The sequence below is a fragment of the Homo sapiens genome, chromosome 12 (assembly GCF_000001405.40).
Source record: "Homo sapiens chromosome 12, GRCh38.p14 Primary Assembly".
NCBI lineage: Eukaryota > Metazoa > Chordata > Mammalia > Primates > Hominidae > Homo > Homo sapiens.
Window position 1 is genome coordinate 119,845,739 of NC_000012.12, and position 21,866 is coordinate 119,867,604.

General features: G+C 45.0%; 1 protein-coding gene across 12 annotated transcripts in view; it reads right to left on the minus strand.

The window, feature by feature from the left end:
* The window catches only part of CIT (citron rho-interacting serine/threonine kinase), a 191,530-nt gene that overhangs the window by 159,948 nt on the left and 9,716 nt on the right, over nt 1-21,866 (minus strand). For all 12 annotated transcript variants that reach the window (XM_011537788.2, XM_011537787.2, XM_047428134.1 and 9 more), the window contains exons 4-5: nt 11,785-11,960; nt 4,436-4,537 (exon numbers count right to left, since the gene is read on the minus strand). In XM_011537788.2, the coding sequence (XP_011536090.1) occupies nt 4,436-4,537; nt 11,785-11,960 (278 nt within the window). The remainder of the gene's footprint in view (nt 1-4,435; nt 4,538-11,784; nt 11,961-21,866) is intronic.

The window sequence follows — 21,866 nt, forward strand, 5'->3', positions numbered from 1 at the left end:
CAGGAGTTCAAGACCAGCCTGGCCAAAGTGGTGAAACCCCATCTCTACTGAAAATACAAAAATGAGCCGGGCGTGGTGTCACACGCCTGTAATCCCAACTACTCGGGAGGCTGAGGCAGGAGAACCCGGGAGGCAGAGGTTGCAGTGAGCCGAGAACACGCCACTGCACTACAGCCTGGGCAACACGGCAAGACTCCATCTCAAAACACACACACACACACACACACACACACACACACACACACAGAAAAAGGAAAGTTATTTCTACTATGACAAAACTAGGTGATGGTAATAAGAACGGTGACATCAAAGTGAGAAATTATCAAAGTGCCCAGATAGTACCCTCCTGAAGATGTGATTTGAGAACTGTTTAGACATGAAACAATGCACTCCCATCAACATGTAAGAAAACTACATTTGGGCATTCCTGCTGGGACTCCTCTGATCATCCTCACTGGCCACAGGGGAGGCAAGCAGTGGTTTCCCTGAAGCTACTGAGCAGTAGCCTGCCACATGGACCACTAAATCCTCAACTGAGTTCCTTCACACAGAACACTCAAAATCTGTCAGTGCCTCTACCAAAATGGACCTTGATGATGTGAAAATCCCAAAGCATTTCAATAATGCTTACTTTTAAGAATAAGTTGCCTGAGACTAGACACCAAGAAGGGGAGCTCTTCAGCTCAGAGAAAAGAAATATGAGTTTATGGAGCAGTGCAAGGTAGACCAGAAAACTGTGGACTCTCAACTTTGGTCCAAAAAATCAAAGCCCTTCCTAATTCCAGGACCACTTAGATTCTGTGTGGCCTTGAAAATGAAGTTTATCTTCACAAGCTAGTGTTCTAAACCTCCTGTAGAGCTCGAATTAAAATATCTAAAAATAGGCTGGGTGTGGTGATTCATGCCTGTGATCCCAACAATTTGGGAAGCCAAGGCAGGAGGATGACTTGGGGCCAGGAGTTCGAAACCAGCCTAGGCAACATAGTGAGACCCTAGTCTCTATGAAAAATTTAAAAATTCGCTAGGCATGGTGGTTTGTACCTGTTGTCCCAGCTAATCAGGAAGGTGAAGCAGGAGAATCACTTGAGCCCTGCAATTTGAGGTTACAGTGAGCTATGATCATGCCACTGCAACAGAGACATCATCACTTAAAAAAAAAAAAGAAAGAAAAAAATACGTATCTAAAACAACAATAACAAACAAACACAAACCAAAACAAACAAAAGCCCTGTTGTTTCAAGGGAACGTCTTTTTTTTTTTTCTTGAGACGGAGCCTCGCTCTGTCACCCAGGCTGGAGTGCACTGGCACAATCTGGGCTCACTGCAAGCTCCGCCTCCCAGGTTCACACCGTTCTCCTCCCTCAGCCTCCCGAGTAGCTGGGACTACAGGCACCCGCCACCATACCTGCCTAATTTTTTATATTTTTAGTAGAGACGAGGTTTCACCATGTTAGCCAGGATGGTCTCGATCTCCTGACCTCCTGATCTGCCCACCTCGGCCTCCCAAATTGCTGGGATTACAGGTGTAAGCCACCACACCTGGCCCGAACTTCTTCTTAATAAAGAAGCCTGAGGCTGGGCACAGTGGCTCACGCCTATAACCCCAGCACTTTGGGAGGCCAAGACGGGTGGATCACCTGAGGTCAGGAGTTCAAGACCAGCCTAACCCACATGGCAAAACCCCGTCTCTACTAAAAATATAAAAATTAGCTGGGCACGGTGGCACACGCCTGTAGTCCCAGCTACACAGGAGGCTAAGACAGGAGAATCACTTTAACCCAGGAGGTGGAAGTTGCAGTGAGCTGAGATTGCATGACTGTACTCCAGCCTGGTGACAGAGAAAGACTCCATCTCAGAAAAAAAATGAAAAGAAAAGGCGCAGTGGCTCACGCCTGTAATCCCAGCACTTTGGGAGGCCAAGGCGGGCAGATCATCTGAGGTCAGGAGTTTGAGACCAGCCCCACCAACATGGCGAAACCCCGTCTCTACTAAAAATACAAAAATTAGCAGGGCGTGGTGTCATGCACCTGTAATCCCAGCTACTCGGGAGGCTGAGGCAAGAGAATCGCTTGAACCCAGGAGGTGGAGGTTGCAGTGAGCTGAGATTGAGCCATTGCACTCCAGCCTGGGTAACACTAGCCTGGGTGACAGAGTGAGACTTTGTCTCAAAAATAAAAAAAATTAAAAGTCTGTTAATACATTCAAACATGAGAAGCTGCTTATGATGCAGAGAGCACAAGGTAAATACTGCATCTGCAACAGATGTCCTGGAACACCAGCAACCCTAGAAACACACCAAGGTCATCTGTGAAGGTGAGGGTTCCATGCCCCATGTCTCAAGGAAGGAAAGTTTCTAAGGCAATATGTAAGGAAAGGGTGTTTCAGGCCATAAACCTAAGAGCTGTGGCATTGGTTCTGAAGGCACGTGTGGTCAGTCAAAGCCAGTCTGCCAATAGATTCATATGTGAATGTCCTCACTCAGAGGACAAGGAAAACTTCTCTCCAGGCACTGGGTTCTCAACTAATATGAAACCAAGACACATAAACTTATTTATTTTAGGTCAGGAATAAAAGCAGCAAATTCCCCAAAAACGGGCCAGTAGAAGTTTAAGATAAGTGGGAGTTCATCCCTCTTACCCTTTTCTCTTACGTGAGCCTGTTTATCTCCATTCAAGGTAACATGATAGTCCTCTTTTAAGGGCTGAATCAGGAACAAAAATTGTTTCCAGGATACACTTGTTAAATTTAGGAATTTAATCCCTCAAGAACCTAAACAAGGCCCCAAAATGAATTTTAGCATTCTCTAACTTATGATATATACACATCAGGGAAAATTATGCCACTGCTCAAAGAATAAAGTAGACCTGCGTTACTGACAAGGAAGAAAGGATGTCTGGGATACACTGGTGAAAGGCAACAGCAAGCTGGAGAGCCAAGCACAGAGTAACATACCATTTTTATAAAGTAAACTATACACATGTGGATATAGAAATATCCCCCACCGGAGCTGGGCATGGTGGCTCACACCTGTAATCCCAGCACTTTGGAAGGCCAAGGCAGGAAGATCTCTTGAGCTCAGGACTTCGAAACCAGCCTGGGCAACATGGCAAAACCCCGTCTCTACTAAAAATACAAAAATTAGCCAGGCACAGTGGTGTATGCCCGGGAGGCTGAGGTGGGAGGTTTGCTGGAGCCCAGGAAGTCGAGGCTGCAGTGAGCCATGTTCATGCCACTGAACTCCAGCCTGGGTGGCAAAGTGAGACCTGGTCTCAAAAAAAGAAGAAAAGAAAAGAAACATCCCCCACCATGCTCCTACAGAGCACAGTTAAGGGTCAGAAAGGGAAAGCTTATGTAACCATTTAACATTTCTTCCCCTAGGGAGGAGGATTAGAAAATAAAACGGAGAGGCCGGGCACAGTGGCTCACTCCTGTAATCACAACACTTTGGGAGGCCGAGGCAGGTGGATCATTTGAGGTCAGGAGTTTGCGGCCAGCCCGGCCAACGTGGTAAAACCCCATCTCTACTAAAAATACAAAAATTAGTTGGGCGTGGTGACACGTGCCTGTAATCCCAGCTACTAGGGAAGCTGAGGCAGAAGAATCTCTTGAACCTGGGAGGTGGAGATTGCAGTGAGCCGAGATAGTGCCACCGCACTCCAGCCTGGGTGACAAAGCGAGACTCTGTCTCAAAAAAAAAGAAAAGGAAAAGAAAATGGGGGGCTTTCCCTTCAACTTCATGCATGTCTGCAGTGTTTGCATTTTCTTATAACAACCATGCACTATTATCATTTTTTTAATCCTAAGCAAGCTAACACAGGAAGTTTTTAAAAATTAAAGCAAGATTATCTTATACATAATGACAGACTATTCCCCAATAAATGATTCCCTATTATTGCCTGAAAGCCACAGCTACAATATCCAACTGTCAATGAGGCTGTTTCTTTTTTTTTCTTTTTTTTTTTTTTGAGATAGAGTCTTGCTCTGTCACCCAGGCTGGAGTGCAGTGGCGCAATCTCGGCTCACTGCAAGCTCCGCTTCCCAGGTTCAAGCGATTGTCCTGCCTTAGCCACCTGAGTAGCTGGGACTACAGGCACCCGACACCATGCCCGGCTAATTTTTCTGTATTTTTAGTAGAGACGGGGTTTCACTGTGTTAGCCAGGATGGTCTTGATCTCCTGACCTCGTGATCCACCCGCCTCGGCCTCCCAAAATGCTGGGATTACAGGCGTGAGCCACCACGTTCAGCCCAATGAGGCTGTTTCTAAATGGGTTAGCTCTTGATCTTTATAACGAGGAAACCAGGGAGACACCTGTAAGGTAAGAAAGTCTTTGCATGAATGAGACCACATGGGCAAGAACAACATTCAGTTCTACCACAGGCATCTGAGTGTCAGAGTGCTAGGCTAATTCCAGAGAGACAGATGTAAAGACTCACCAGATAAAGGTGATTTTTGTCCTGAAAGGCATACTGTAATTGGGGGATCCACGGGCTTGTGCTTCGAGATAATATGTTCCGCTCTTCCTCAAAAAATGAAACCTAGGGAAAAAAGAAACTGCTTAGACAATTATAAAGAACTGTGAGAGGAAAAAGAAGCCTTTTCCTCTGTCTTTATGCCTAAACTGATGTTTCTAGCTTTAAAAAAAAAAAAAGGCAAAGGAAAGAAGGGAAAAGAAAACAGAAGGAAGGAAGGAAGAAGAGGGAAAGGGAAGGAAAGGGAAGGGAAGGGGAAGGGAAAGGGAAGGAAAGGGAAGGGAAAGGGAAGAAAAGGGAAGGGAAGGGGAAGGGAAGGGAAAGGGAAGGGGCTGTCACTTAGCCCAGAATTGCATAAATCTCAATCATTCACCTACTTTGGTCACAATTTTTGCCAGCTCCGTATATTACCTGCTCAATTCTTTACCTAACATATTTCTTTAAACTACCTTTCTTTAAATGTAAATATTTTTCTCTTCCTCTTCTCTTCCTGAAGCCATTCACTGGTGTGGAACAAGGTAAGCATCCACGCTAGTTATGAGAAAAGTCATGGTGGCCCAGGACACAGTGCCGTCCCAAGCAACGTGAGGAGGGCAGCACTCATGTGTGGGGGCAGCCCAGTATCACAGGCCCACACAGGGTAAGGAAGACATCCACGTGAAAGGGCAACCCAGAGCAGATTATCTGGACCCACCAAGGGGAGGTGGGATACCAACAAAGACAGTAGATTGGATGCATACAGATGCATAAAATAAGTAAACATATTAAGGGTATAATGTCAGAGAAGAGAATTACAAACATGGAAAGGGTGAAAACTAAAATGAACCCTGTGAAGTTGGATTGGAACTGGGGGCACGGGTGTGAACTCATGGTTTTCCCTTTTTATTTTTGTAGAGACAGAGTCTCTCTCTGTTTCCCAAGCTGGTGTTGAACTCCTGGCTTCAGGTGATCCTCTTGCCTCAGCCTCCCAAAATGCTGAGATTAAAGGCATAAGCCACTGTGCCCAGCCACAATTTTCAATATATAGACATGGATACACAAATATAGATGTAATGTATATGTGTGTGTGTGAGTGCACGCACATGTGTAGGTGGATATATTGTATATACGTATGTGTATTCCTTAGTGCTGTCCACTGAAAGGGGTCTGGGAGTAGTGACACACCGGTAGCAATGAAAACACCCAATGTCCAGATCTTGGCCTCTAAACACCATTGTCCACTGAAAGGCACAGGGCTCCTCTGAGAAATGACTGATGCCAGAGCCAGGGCAGAGAAAGTAAAAGTACCAAAAGAACCTGAACATCTTGCTATACCAGAAAGCAGGAAAGTATTCAATGAATCTTGGAGACATGTGAAAAGGACACAAAAGCTAACCTAAAAAGGTTCTCAGTGGCCAAGTTGGGAACAATTTAAGTATAAAACTAGTGACAGAAATGGATTATAACTCACTGACTGAAATAGGAAAATCCAAGTCCACATAGATATAAAATATTTCCATCACTTGAAAGTAACTCCCCATAAAATACTTTTTTAATTACAAAGGAGGCTGGGTGCAGTGGCTCATGCCTGTAATCCCAGCACTTCGGGAGGCCAAGGCCGGAAGACTGCTTGAGGCCAGGAGTTACAGACCAGCCTGGACAACACAGTGAGACCCCATCTCTACAATACAAAAAGTAGCTGGGTGTGGTGGTGTTCGCTTACAGTCCCAGTTACTCAGGAGGCTGTGGCAGGTGGATTACTTGAGCCCAGGAGTTCAAGGCTGCAGTGAGCCAAGATCCCACCACTGCACTCCAGCTTGGGCAACCAAGCAAGACCCTGTCTCTAAGAAAAATAAAATAAATAAAATCACGAAGGAGGAAGGAGTAACCCTACAAGTAGAAAGGCATAACTGACACCACCTTAATCAAGTGATCAAAGTGAGCATCAACATAAATGTGATCAACTGAAACAGAGAGTCTTCTGCTCTGATGCAATAAGAACAGAGCATCTTGTCTGAGATATTCCGGCCAAAGACCAAGACCCTAAATCTAAACATAAGCAACATCAGACAAATTCAAATTTTACAAAATAACTGGCCTATAATCATCAGAATTGTCAAGGTCATGAGAGTCCAGGAAAAATCAAAGAACTGCTCCAGATTGAAGGAGACTAAAGAGACAGGACAATTAAGTGTCACGTGTGATCCTCAACTCGATCGTTTTATTCTAAAAGACATTATGGGAGCCAGGTGTGGTGGCTCACGCCTGAAATCCCAGCACTTTGGGAGGCCAAGGCGGGCGGATCACTTGAGGTCAGGAGTTCGAGACCAGCCTGGCCAACATGATGAAACCTCGTCTCTACTAAAAAAAATACAAAAATTAGCTGGGCATGGTGGTGTGCTACTTGTGGAGCTGAGGCAGGAGAATCACTGGAACCCGGGGGCAGAGGTTGCAGTGAGCTGAGATCTCGCCACTGCACTCTAGCCTGGGTGACAGAGTGAGACTCTGTCTCAAAAAAAAAACAAAAACAAAAACTGTATAAATCAACTGCTTAAAATAAATAAATTATATATATGCATATATATGTAAATATATTCTATGCATGTGTACATATATATTTCTGTGTATATATTCTGTATGCACATATATTCTATGTGTATATACATTCTGTGTGTGTGTATATATATTCTATGTATATCAGTGTGTGTGTATCTATCAAATGGTTTAAGAAAAAAAGTTGTTTATACTGTATGTGACGGTTAGTCTTATGTGTCAACTTATAATCCTAGGAGATGATTATATATCTATCTCCTACTGGTTCCATTTCTCTTAAGAACCCTGACTACATGGTACTTGCAACTTTTCTATAAATTTGTGATTGTAATCCCAGCACTTTGGGAGGCCAAGGCACGTGGACTACTGCAGGTCAGGAGTTCAAGACTAGCCTAGCCAACATGGTGAAACCCCGTCTCTACTAAAAATACAAAAATTAGCTGGGCATGGTGGAGTGCACCTGTAATCAATCCCACCTACTCAGAAGCCTGAGGCAGGAGAATTGTTTGAAGGCAGAGGTTGCAGTGAGCAGAGATTGTGCCACTGCACTCTAGACTAGGTGACAAAGCAAGACTCTGTCTCCAAAAAAAAAAAAAAAAATGGTTACTGTTTCAATTTTTTTATTTAATTTTAAATAAAAAATTGTTTAGGTTATTGTTAGAACAAGTTACAGGGGATTTGTTTATTTGTTTGTTTGTTTGTTTTGTTTTGTTTTGTTTTAGAGACAGGGTCTCACCATGTTACCTAGGCTGGCCTCAAACTCCTGGGCCCAAACCATCCTCCCGCCTTGGCCTCCCAAAGTGCTGGGATTACAGGCGTGAGCAAAGTCACAGGTTTTGATATGCTAGTTAATATTAAACTATTAAATGTTTTTACATAGGTTGTCCATATACTACCTAAAATCATGAGATTTAACACTACCAGGGATAAATCTAACACATTTGGGAAACACCAACATAACCCCAATAATTTACTGCACCTGATATGCTGATCCTTCTTTTGTCTGGCACATAAAAGGTGTCCAAGGAAGGCTGAACTGAACAGTCTACACCTTTGCTTGCTCACCAATGACTCTGTCTGACCCCGTCTGACCCCTGAAGCTTCCATTAAAATAAGCAGTCTCAAAACAAAAAAAATTAAAAATAAATAAAATAAGCAGTCTCAGCCAGGAGGGGTGGCTCATGCCTGTAATCCCAACACTTTGGGAGGGGGAGATGGAAGGATCACTTGAGGCCAGGAGTTCAAGACCAGTCCGGGCAACATAGGGAGATCCCACCTCTACATAATTTATTTTTTTTTTTTGAGACGGAGTGTTCGCTCTTGTTGCCCAGGCTGTAGTGCAGTGGCGTGATCTAAGCTCACTGCAACCTCTGCCTCCCAGATTCAAGCAATTCTCCTGCCTCAGCTCCCAAGTAGCTGGGATTACAGGCATGCACCACCACACCCGGCTAATTTTTTGTATTTTTAGTAGAGACAGGGTTTCTCCATGTTGGTCAGGCTGGTCTCAAACTCCCGACCTCAAGTGATCCGCCCTGCTTGGCCTCCAAAGTGCTGGGATTACAGGCGTGAGCCACTGCACCCGGCCCACAAAATTTTTTTTTAAAGTTAGCTGGGGGCTAGCCACAGTGGCTCACGCCTGTAATCCCAGTACTTTGAGAGGCTAAAGTGGGCAGATCACTTGAGGTCAGGAGTTCGAGACCAGCCTGGCCAACATGGCAAAACCCCGTCTCTACTAAAAAGATACAAAAAACATTAGCCAGGCATGGTGGCACCCGCCTGTAGTCCCAGCTACTAGAGAGGCTGAAGCACAAGAATCACTTGAACCCAGGAGGCAGAGGTTGCAGTGAGTGAGATCCGGCCACTGAACTCCAGCGGACTCTGTCTCAAAAAAATAAAAATAAAACAATGTTTTTAAAATAATAAAGTGGGCCGGGCACGGTGGCTCACGCCTGTAATCCCAGCACTTTGGGAGGCCGAGGCAGGCAGATCACAAGGTCAGGAGTTCGAGACCAGCCTGACCAACATGGTGAAACCCCCCCTCTGCACTAAAAATACAAAAATTAGCCAGGTGTGGTGGCAGGTGCCTGTAATCCCAGCTATTCAGGAGGCTGAGCAAGAAGAATCGCTTGAACCTGGGAGGCGGGGTTGCAGTGAGCCGAGATCGTGCCACTGCACCTCTAGCCTGGGCAACAGAATGAGACTCATTCTCTAAATAAATAAATAAATAATAAAGTTAACTGGGTGTGGCAGCACATGCCTATGGTCCCAGCTACTTAAGAGGCTGAGGCGGGAGGGTCGCTTAAGCCCAGGAGTTTGAGGGTGCAGTGAGCTATGACTGCATCACTGCATTCCAGCACAGATGACAGTGAGACCCTCTCTCTAAAATAGTAGAAACAGTCGGCCAGGCACAGTGGCTCACACCTGTAATCCCAGCACTTTGGGAGGCCGAGGTGGGCGAATCATGAGGTCAGGAGATCAAGACCATCCTGGCTAACGAGGTAAAACCCCGTCTCTACTAAAATTACAAAAAAATTAGCCGGGCATTGTGGCAGGCGCCTGTAGTCCCAGCTACTCGGGAGGCTGAGATAGGAGAATGGTGTGAACCTGGGAGGCGGAGCTTGCAGTGAGCTGAGATCGCACCACTGCACTCCAGCCTGGGTGACAGAGACTCTGTCTCAAAATAAATAAATAAATAAATAAATAAAATATAAACAGTCTCTGAAGACCCCTTCCAGCTGTCAGAGAACCCTGGGTGGGCGTGCGGGCCTCTCCCAGGCGGCAGGCCTTGTCTGCAGAACAGCATCCCTCCCTCCTCTCGGGCACTTCTTTTCCTTCCCTTCACTGCTTGTGCTGGCTTCTCTCATGCCCTTAAATTCCAAATGGCTCAGTTAAGGACCCTACTTTTCTTTTCTATGCATCCTCTTAAGGAATGAATAGGCGGCTTTAGTTAGCGCCTGTATGTGTATAATTTTATAAGCCCCCAGCCCACACTTCCACACGGTCATTTCAGGCCATTCACCTGGAGGAAGGTATACCTATTTGAATATCTCTATTGTTTGCCTGCCGTGTGGCCTGTTGGATTATTTTCTTTTTACACGCACTATTTCCCATCAAAAACATAAGCATCACAAGGTCAGGGCTACACGTAATGCCTCTTCTCCAGGACCTAGAAACACACCAGATACAACAGATGCTCAGGTAGTATGAACTGATGAGACACAGTTCTTTCTCAGGAGCTGGGAGGCTGAGTGAGCATCTTCCACTCCTCTCTTCCAAATTATCTGCCATGTCCTGTCACTTTTCCTTTCTATTATGTGCTCACATTTTATTGCTAAACAAAGAAGCCACATCACTCTCAGATTCTGACAAGCAGCTTCCTGCCCTCCGCTGCTTCTCTGATTGGAGGCCACACAAAGTCATTGAAGTCCACAGGGCCAGACTCTGATCCCAACCTCCTCCTTCCAGAGGCCTAAATAATCCCCAACAGCCTCACAAAGTAAACTGCAATTCAAAAACTGGTTCTTGGGGGAATGGGGAGGTATTGTATAATGGATAGAGAGTTTCTGTTTGGGATGATAGAAAAATTCTAGAAATGGAGAGCGGTCATGGTTGTACAACATCATGAATGCACTGAATACCACTCAGTTGCACATTTAAAAATGGTTAAAATGGTACACTTTATGTTATATATATTTTACCACAATTTTTTAAAAAAAGGTTCTTGAGTTTCCCACCCATTTCCCCCTCCCCACCCAAATGTCCTCATTTCGCCATTTCCCAGTCTGTTCTGAACCACTGAACACACACACACACCCACACACACACACTTGCATAGCATTCTAGTACTCCAGAATGTCACACTTCTACCCAACATGTTCTCATCACTTCTCTCTGCCGAGAACCTACATTTCCCCCCATCGGTGAGAACTGTCCCTAACTGTCCCTTGCTCACCCACAACATCTCCCCTCACATCATCGTTAATTAATTTGCTAATTGCTCTCCCACTTCTGTGATACTTTAGCTGGTAAGCACCTGCTTTATACATTTGCATTTTTCCTCCACTTTCCAAGGTTGTTTTTAAACACTGAAAATAGCAACCATGGGACTTCTATTCCTTTTGCAAGCTTCCTGCAGAGCTGGGTACATTATCAGACATATCATGTGCACTAAAATGTCTGTAAGTAATAAATTACTCTCTGAATTCCAAGGCTGACGGCCATCTCTCTAAAACACAGCAAATGAATCAATATGTCTAGAGACAGTAGCCTTGTTTAAAAGAAAGAAAAATACCACAACAAAAAAGATAACGTTCTACCTGCTCTCAAACAAGCAACTCCCTAGCCACATAACAAAGAATGTTATTTGATTTCTTCAAAGGCCTGTTTTAAAACCAAATCCATATGCCCACAACACAAATACCTAAAGCGTGTACAAAAGCAATCTGATTCACCCCACCATATGTATATCCTGAGTCCTCAGCTAATGGTCATAAAAGATCATCTTAAATTCATTAGCTAAAAGGCCACCTTGGTTCTGAAATAAATTACAACGATAGAAACATGATACATCAAGAGGAATTTGTGAGCCTTCAAAATTAGCCAACATCAGTTCAAGAAGATGAGCTAAGAACATGAGAGACCTTTTTGCCCCAACTATAATTAAATATAGAGTCACAGAGGAAAACGTGCTTGATCCTAGACGCCAGTGCAGCAGATTATCGTCTTTGCAATGAACACTCCGGTACAGAAAGTGGAAAAGCATGATGTTAAAATCCTCCTACCTGCTCCTGGGCCAATAAAGCCTTCTTCTTCATCACTTTCATAGCATAGATGTCCCCGGTTGCTTTCTCTCTTACCACCTGCACTTCAGCAAAGTGACCACAACCTACAAGACTTCTGACTTCGAAGTCCTTTGCCGAAGGCTGGAGCTCCTGTAACTCAGCTATGGTGTCGGAATCTGCAAAAGATGCAAGAGTTAGCCCCAGGTAAATAAAGCATGCAAATATATGCATCTTTATGAAAGAAAAAAAAAAAAGAAAATAGCATTCGGATAGCTTCCCTCACTGTCAAAGACATTCACTTTCTCATCCATCATGAATAATTATAAAATCAGTACAAAAGTGTTTTTATATGTTAAGTTAAAATTAAGGGCTCTAGAAATTCCAAAGTACAGTTTCCATGGCAGCTACAATTTGAATCCCATAGACTCAGAAAATAGGGAGAGAGGATACAAATTATGTTTTCCTTCTTCCTCTCTGAAGGCTGCAGGGCAGTGTTTGGTCAAGCATGCTTATTAGCATTTAGACTGGTTTACAGTGTGACATAGTCAACATGAGTCTAATTTAGACCAACTTGGGACCTGGTTTCCAGATCATTCCATTCTAACTACATGCGCTTAGTTTTATCCCACTAGCCCAAGGTTCATCTTCCTTGGATTGTATCCATAAAGCCTTCGTAGATCTAATATGTGGCAGTGCTTAAAGGGGCAGAGGGGTCCAGGCATGGTGGCTGACGCCTGTAATCCCAACACTTTGGGAGGCCTAGGCAAGTGGATCACTGGAGGTCAGGAGATCGAGACCAGCCTGGCCAACATGGTGAAACCCCATCTCTACTAAAAATACAAAAATTAGCCAGGTGTTGTGGTGCACGCCTGTAATTCCACCTACTCAGGAGGCTGAGGCACAAGAATCACTTGAACCTGGGAGGCAGAGGACACAATGAGCTGAGATTGTGCCACAGCACTCCAATCTGGGTGACAGAGTGAAACTCTGTCTCCAAAAAAAAAAAAAGGCGTGGGGGCCAGGAGCAGTGGCTCACGCCTGTAATCCCAGCACTTTGGGAGGCCGAAGCGGGTGGATCACAAGGTCAGGAGATCCAGACCATCCTGGCTAACACAGTGAAACCCCGTCTCTACCAAAAACATACAAAAAATTAGCTGGGCATGGTGGTGAGCACCTGTAGTCCCAGCTACTTGGGAGGCTGAGGCAGGAGAATGGCGTGAACCTGGGAGACAGAGCTTGCAGTGAGCCGAGATCACACCACTGCACTCCAGCCTGAGTGACAGAGCGAGACTCCATCTCAAAAAAAAAAAACAGCGTGGTGGGCAGAAGGGCTTAGCACTCAGAGAACTAAATGGGGTTCTGACATCTGCTCTGCAGGGCTGACATACTACATGTCCAAATGGATTTGCAACTATAGTTTTCTTACCATACAGTCTTATTATTTTTCCAAGTCTAATCTTTCAGTCAGAGATCCTCAACGTATGAAGTATGGATTAAATGGACAGTAGATTTGGAATCTAACATGTTTATTAACACTCTAGATACACTGATCTGAGACATCGCTAAATGTACGATGACTCTAATGACCTGCAGGAATGAAGGGGAGCAGCAGTGGCTGACCCAAAAATTTAATCCTGCACGTTACAAGGGAACAGCATCATACACAGGCATTACACACCAAGGGCAATGCAATGCTTATAATCAAAATTATCCTGGAAAATCCGGCAGAAAGATGCCACACTGAAGACCAAGAGACTGTCTTAAAATCCCAAACACACACTGGAATCTTCTGGGAACTGGAAGGGATGGCCATTTCAATGGCTGGGCAGCAGATAAGGTTAGGAGCTACATTCCAGAGTCATACTCAGCCCTGCAAGTGGCTCACACAATGAGACAGACTCGGTCCATCAAAGGGAAAGCCATTTCATACCACAGTCAGTGAGTGGCATTTTAATGAATTGGCCAATGTCATTTTTTTCATTTTCTTAGTTTTTTTTTTAAGAGACACAAATGGCTGGGCGCAGTAGCTCACGCCTGTAATCCCAGCATTTTGGGAGGGCGAGGCGGGTGGATCACCTGAGGTCAGGAGTTCAAGACAAGCCTGACCAACATGATGAAACCCCATCTCTACTAACAATACAAAAATTAGCTGCACACAAGCGGCCGCTTTTAATCTCAGCTGCTCGGGAGGCTGAGGGAGAGAATCACTTGAACCTGGGAGGTGCAGGTTGTAGTGAGCAGAGATCGTACCACTGCACTTCAGCCTGGGTGACAGAGTGAGACTCCGTCTCAAAAAAAAAAAAGAACACAATCTTGCTCTGTCGCCCAGGCTGGAATGCAGTGGTGAAATCATAGAATCATAACTCACTGCAGCCTCGAACTCCTGGACTCAAGGGACCCTCACCCACCTCATTCTCCAGAGTAGCTGGGACTATAGGCGCACACCACCAATCTGGCTAATTTTTAAAATTTTTTTGTACAGGTAGGGTCTCATTATGTCACCCAGGCTGGTCTCAAACTCCTAGACTCAAGCAATCCTCCCACCTTGGCTTCCCAAAGCACTGGGATTACAGGCATGAACCATCGCACTCAGCCTGCAACTGTAACTACTCTTGCCCACCCTGTTCCTTTGTTGCACGGGTGGAGTTGAAATCTCCTGTGTCAGAGGCTTATAATGAGTGCCGCGGTATTGAGAGTCTTCTCAGCCACAGACCCCACCCCTCACTTCAGCAATCATCCTGAATACACCTTCCCTTGGTCCCTTGGGGAACCAGGCAAGAGTGGTGGGTGGATCCACATGAAGTCGTGACCACTGTAAAAAACAAATCTAGGGCACCTACATGGGGAATGCCATGAAGAAGCAAAATTAAAAGCTGCACGGTATTTTCCTTTTACCCTGACAATGCTGTAACAAGCCTGTCTTCCTTCCCTCTTTCCAAGTTTCTTCCAGATCAAGTATTTGAGTTTTGAATTATAATTCCCCAAAAACTTGCTGGATTGAACTTGATTTTGTTATTGCTCATACACAAAGCCAATCTCTCCTAATTCTCTAGTATGCCTTGGATTGTTTACAAAGTTGCTTAAAGCAGTGTCCAACTTAATAACTCTGGGCCTGTCAGTGGCGACCACCAGCTTTCTCAACTGCACAAGGAGACAGACCACGGTGCTTTGCAGGCAAAACCATGACAATACTCTCTTGGAATTCTGAGAAGCCATTCCAAATCTCCATTTCTTTATCTAAAGGCTTTTGGATTATTAAGGTGAACAGATGAGAGGCTACATTCAAGCCTATGATTACTTAAAAAAAAAAAAAAAAGACCAGGCGCAATGGCTCAGGCCTGTAATCCCAGCACTTTGGGAGGCCCAGGTGGGCGGATCACCTGAGGTCAGGAGCTCAAGACCAGCCTGGCCAACATGGTGAAACCCCATCTCTACTAAAAACACAAAAATTAGCTGGGTATGGTGACACATGCCTATAATCCCAGCTACTCGGGAGGCTGAGGCATAAGAATCACTTGAACCAGGGAGACAGAGGTTGCAGTGAGCCGAGATCAAGCCACTGCACTCCAGCCTAGGGGATACAGCGAGACTCTGTCTCAGGAAAAAAAAAAAAAACTTCACAACTTCTCTCTATACCAGCTGCTTCTGTGACCCCAAAACCGTCACATCACTCCACCCCTGTGCACTTTTAGCTGCAGTATCTAAGGGCCCAGTGGGCACTGAATATTGAGGTACTGAGGTAGAGATAAGGACCCAAAACACTGTGAAAATGCAGTCAGAGGGCCAGGCACTGTGGCTCACGCCTGTAATCCCAGCACTTTGGGAGGCTGAAGCGGGTGGATCACCTGAGGTCAAGAGTTCAAGACCAGCCTGACCAATATGGAGAAATCCCATCTCTACTAAAAATACAAAAAATTAGCCAGGTGTCGTGGCGCATGCCTGCAATGCCAGCTACTTAGGAGGCTGAGGCAGGAGAATCGCTTGAACCTGGGAGGCAGAGGTTGCAGTGAGCCGAGATCGCGCCATTGCACTCCAACCTGGGCAACAAGAGCGAAACTCCATCTCAAAAAAAAAAAAGAAAAGAAAAGAAAAGAAAATGCAATCAGAGAATAACTTTGTCAGATAATCATCTGGACCCAAGAGCAAAAGCCAACATAGCTGGGTGTATTGCTTCCTTTTTTGGAACACAGTAATCCAAACTTTCAATTTCTAGGAATCATCCATTGTCCACAGAAATACTTGCACATGTGCTCAAAAAAGATGCATACAAAGATGTGAATGATGAAAACTGTTGTAACACAAAAATAATCAGAAACCACCTAAAGGTTCATCAACAGAAAAGTTGAAACAACCTACAAGTCCGCCCATATAAAAGAACATTAGGCACATGTTAAACAGAACAAGATGGCTCAGTATCCATTAGAACACATACTCCTTACAGACAGGGAGTTTTCTCTGGTTGGTTAGTTGGTTTGTTTGTTTGTTTGTTTGTTTCTAGGATGGAGTCTCACTCTGTCACCCTGGCTGGAGTGCAGTGGCATGGTCTTGGCTCACTGCAACCTCTGCCTCCAGGGTTCAAGCAATTCTCATGACTTGGTCTCCCGAGTAGCTGGAACTACAGGTGCCCACCACACCCGGCTAATTTTTGTATTTTTAGGAGACTGGTATCACCATTTTGGCCAGGCTGGTCTCAAACTCCTGACCTCAAGTAATACACCCACCTCGGGCTCCCAAAGTGCCAGGATTACAGGCGTGAGCCACTACACCTGGCCACCTTGGGGTACGTTTTTAAATTTCCATAATAAATATTTTTAAGGCACACACACACACAAACAAAATTGGCACACTATACAGCAATCTGTTGGCAGTGATTGTCTCAGGTAAGATTTTGAGGGATTTTTCTCTCACTATGTATGTGATGTGCTATATTCTAAACGTTTGTGCCCCTCGCCCCTACAAAATTCATGTTGAAATGTAATCCCCAGTGTAATACTATTAAGAGGTAGGACTTGCAGGGGCTGGCCACAGTGGCTCCCGCCTGTAATCCCAGCATTTTGGGCAGATCACTTGAGGTCAGGAGTTCAAGACCAGCCTGGCCAACATGGTGAAACCCCAACTCTACTAAAAATACAAAAAAATTAGCCAGGCGTGGTGGCAGGCACCTATAATCCCAGCTACTCAGGAGGCTGAGGCAGGAGAATTGCTTGAACTCAGGAGGTGGAGGTTGCAGTGAGCCAAGATCGCACCACTGCACTCCAGCCTGGGTGACAGAGCAAGACTCTACCTAAAAAAAAAAAAAAAAAAAAAAAAAAAAAAAAGAAAAAACCAAAAAAAAAAACGAGGTAGGACTTTTAGGGAAGTGATTAAATCACTTCCCTAAAAAAGAGGCTGACATTGGGCCGGGTGCAGTGACTCACACCTGTAATCTCAGCACTTTGGGAAAAAGACGAGGCCGGCGGATCACAAGGTCAAGAGTTGGAGACCAGCGTGGCCAGCATGGTGAAACCCTATCTCTACTAAAATACAAAAATTAGCCTGGCATGGTGGTGCGCACCTGTAGTCCCAGCTACTCAGGAGGCTAAGGCAAGAGAATCACTTGAACCCGGGAGGCAGAGGTTGCAGTGAGCCAAGATCGCACCACTGCACTCCAACCTGGGCAACAGAGCGAGACTCTGTATCAAAAAAAAAAAAAAAAAAAAAAAAGAGGCTGACATTATCCTTAGCAAACTAATGCAGGAACAGAAAACCAAATACCACATGTTCTCACATATAAATGGGAGCTAAAGGATGAGAACACAAGGACACTAAGAAGGGAACAACAGACATTGGAGCCTACTAGAGGACAGAGGGTGGGAGGAGGGAGACAATCTGAAAAAATAACTATTGGTTACTAGGCTTAGTACCTGGGTGACGAAATAATCTATAACAAACCCCAAGACAAGTTTACCTACATAACAAACCTGTACATTTACCCATGAACCTAAAATAAAAGTTTTTTTTTGTTTTTTTTGTTTGTTTGTTTTGAGACGGAGTCTTACTCTGTTGCCAGGCTGGAGTGCAGTGGCGCAATCTTGGCTCACTGCAACCTCTGCCTCCCAGGTTCAAGCAATTCTCCTGCCTCAGCCTCCTGAGTAGCTGGGACTACAAGCACACGCCACCATGCCTGGCTAATTTTTGTATTTTTAGTATAGAGACGGGGGGGTTTCACCATGTTGGCCAGGATGGTCTCGATCTCTTGACCTCATGATGCACCTGCCTCGGCCTCCCAAAGTGCTAGGATTACAGGCATGAGCCACCACGCCGGACCAAAAGTTTTAAACATAGAAAAAAAAAAAAAAAGAAGCTGAAGGACTCATGTTTGCCCCTTCTGCCAGGTGAAGATGCAGCAAGAAGGCGCCATTTTTGAAGCAGGGAGCCATCACCAGATACCAGATTCGCTGGCGCCTTGATCTTGGACTTCCCAGTCTTCACAACTGTCAGCAATGAATTTCTATTGTTTATAAATTGCCAAGTCTAAGGTATCTATTATCGCAGCCCAAACAGACTCAGATGCACGTTTAACCTTCTATATTTAACATTGTATTGTGTATTGTTTGCAATAAGAAAAAAAAAAAACTTTTCAAAAGTTATCATTTTCCCATTAGTACTAAAGTTGTAAATATATTGAAGATCTTATCTATAGTGAATATAGCTCAAATGGTAGTAATTCAGCTACTGTCAAATTGCCAATAACAGCCCAATTTTGACAATTATCAACACTTTTCTGTGTAAGTTTTTTTGTTGTGGTGGTGGTTTTGGATTTTTTTTGAAGGGGGTGTTGTTTTGTGTTTTGAGACAGGGTCTTACTCTGTCACCCAGGCTGGGGTGCAGTGGCACAATCTTGGCTTACTGCAACCTCCACCTCCCAGCTTCAAGCAATTCTCCAGCCTCAGCCTCCCAAGTAGCTGGGACCACAGATGTGCGTCCCCATGCCCCAGCTACTTTTTGTATTTTTTGTATAGACAGGGTTTCAGCATGTTGCCCAGGTTGGTCTCAAACTCCTGAGCTCAAAGATCTGCCCACCTCGGCCTCCCAGTGCTGGGATTACAGGCGTGAGCCACTGCACCTGGCCTCTGTGCAAGTTTTAGTATAACACTGCTGTATATTTTTTACACAAATTATCTGATACTGTGCTTAATGTTTGCCATTTATTTTGTTCACTGAGCATACACTCATTCAACAAGTATTTACTAAGGACTTAACATATGCCAGACACTATTTTGGGCACTGGGGATGTAAGAGTAATTAAGAAAGACAAAAATCCCTTCCCTGGTTCCCAGATGCTCGTTCCCTTCCCTTCCCTCCCTTGGCCCAAGGCTAGAGGTACTTCTGCTGGAGACATCCTTCTCCTTCAGAGCTACACTCTATTCCATTTTCTCTAACAGTCCCCAAAGAAAATCTCCATCCCTATAGGAAGATTCAAAAAACCTGGGCAGAAGCAGCTGAGGGACCCTTCTCCACGTAGAAAAACAAAGCTTACATTCCAAAACAGAAACTCAAAAAGGGGAGGAATAGAAAACACACTAATGTAATCACCCATTTTCAATCATGGCCTCTTAAACACTCCCCAGGAAACCTCTTCAAAAATATGAAACATTTCCCTGGAAGAGGGGTCTATTAGAAAAAAATCTACATTCCACTAAACCAAGTCTTCTGATCACTAAATGATTCTAGATAATTCACTGCTGTTAAGTAACCAGAGGACAGTCTCAAGACTAATGAAGGTGCCTGCAGATGGCTCAGTAAGCTAGCCTCATCACATAACTTCCTTCCCCTCCCACTCGCTACTTATAAATTTAAATATTCACAAAAAGAAGGCACGAGCTTATTCAAACAAAAACAGAATGATGAACAAATACCTCAAGTACATTTTGAAGATATACAATATATTAAATGTTGTTGACATTCACAGTTATTAATACTGGGTACCATTTATTGTCTCCTATGGGCCAGGCAACATGACAAATCTGGTCTGTGCATTAACTCATTCAATTCCAACACAGCCTCATTAGATATACATTATTCCCAATGGGCGTGGTGGCTCATGCCTGTAATTCCAGCACTTTCGGAGGCCGAGGCAGGCAGATCACTTGAGGTCAGGAGTTTGAGACCAGCCTGGCCAACATGGCGAAACCCCATCTCTACTAAAAATACAAAAACTAGCTGAGTGTGGTGGTGCACGCCTGTAGTCCCAGCTACTGAGGAGGCTGAGGCAGGAGAATCACTTGAACCCGGGATGCGGAGGTTGCAGTGAGCTGAGATTGTGCCACTGTACTCCAGCCTGGACAACAGAGCAAGACTCCAAAAAAAAAAAAAAAAAAAGGATATACATTATTCCTATTTTACAGATGAGAAAACTGAGAACAAAGTACATGTAAAATACTGAAGAGCACTATAGTGAACATATGCTGATTTTTTTTCTACCCAGCATCCCCGGCTCCTTTGCATAACCACGCATCCCCCATTCCATGAGGTCCTGGTAATCACACTGCCCTGACCCCTTTGGGCATTCCAACAAAACCGATCACAACACCTCACCTCCAGGGAGGCAAATGACCCAAAGCAGAGCCAAGTTAGAATCTTCCCTGGGGTTGTATTAATCTAGATAAGGGAAGATTACCATTGGGCAGGGTGTGGTAGCCAGTCTCCAAAAATAGCACCCAATGCCCCAGTCCTCTTGGGATTCATGACCTTGTGTAGTTTCCTCTCAGGTGGAATTTGAGCAGCCCCAGAGCATGCATCAAACAATAAAATGCAGTCAAAGAGATCCTATGTCCCTCCTAGGATAACCCCTAAGAAAGCCTGGCAGCTTCCACTTTTGTGTTTTGGAAACCTGAGCTACCGTCGAGGCTGTCCTGCTAGAGAGACCATGTAGCTCAGAGGTCAGCAAGCCTTTTCGAAATGGGCCAAACAGGAACTATTTTGGGCTTTGTAGGCCATTTGGTCTCTATCACAACTACTCAAATGCTGTTGTGGGCTGGGCACAGTGGCTCATGCCTGTAATCCAAGCATTTTGGGAGGCCAAGGTGGGAGGATTTCTTGAGGCCAGGAGTTCAAGACCAGCCTAGGCAATCTCACAAGGTCCCATCTCTACACAAAATTAAAAAATTAGCCATTAGTGGTGGCATGGGCCTGTAGTACTAGCTACTGAGGAGGCTGAGACAGGAGGATTGCTTGAGCCCAAGAGTTGGAGGCTGCAGTGAGCTATGATTGTGCTGCTGCACTCCAGCCAGAGTGAGACTTTGTCTCAAAAAAAAATAAATAAAATGAAATAAAATGCTGTTATGATGTGAAAGCAGCCATAGGCACTGTACAAACACATGGGTAGGGCTGTGTTCCAGTAAAACCTTCTTTACAAAATAGGCATCACAGGCTGTAGTTCCTTGACTTCTGATTTGGAGACCACATAGAGGTGCCATGTGGACAGCAAAAGGCCCTGAAACTTCATGAAGAGAGAGAGGCCCAGCTGGGCCCAGCCTCCAAGCCAGGGCACCAAACACTGAGTAAGCCCTCTCACACATTCCAGCCCAGGAGAGCCCCAGGTGACTGCAATCCTGGCCAATGTAATACAGAGCAGAGGAATCCCCAGCTGAGTCCAATTAACCTACACACACAAGAGGTAATACAATAACTTTTTTTTTTTTTTAAGACAGAGTCTCACTCATTGCCCAAGCTGGAGTGCAATGGTGAGATCTTGGCTCACTGCAACCTCCACCTCCCAGGTTCAAGCGATTCTCCTGCCTCTGCCTCCCAAATGGCTGGGATTACAGGCGCCCGCTGCCACATTCAGCTAATTCTTGTATTTTTAGTAGAGACAAGGTTTCACCATGTTGGCCAGGCTGGTCTGGAACTCCTGACCTCAAGTGATCCGCCGCCTCAGCCTCCCAAAGCGCTGGGCTTACACGCATGAGCCACCGCGCCCAGCCACAGTGACTATTGTTTTAAGTCAGTAATATTTAGGGTGGTTGGTTGCACAGCAATGTTGTACAAGGTGGGGTTTCTCAAATTCAGCACTGTTGGCATTGTGGGCTACATAATTCTGT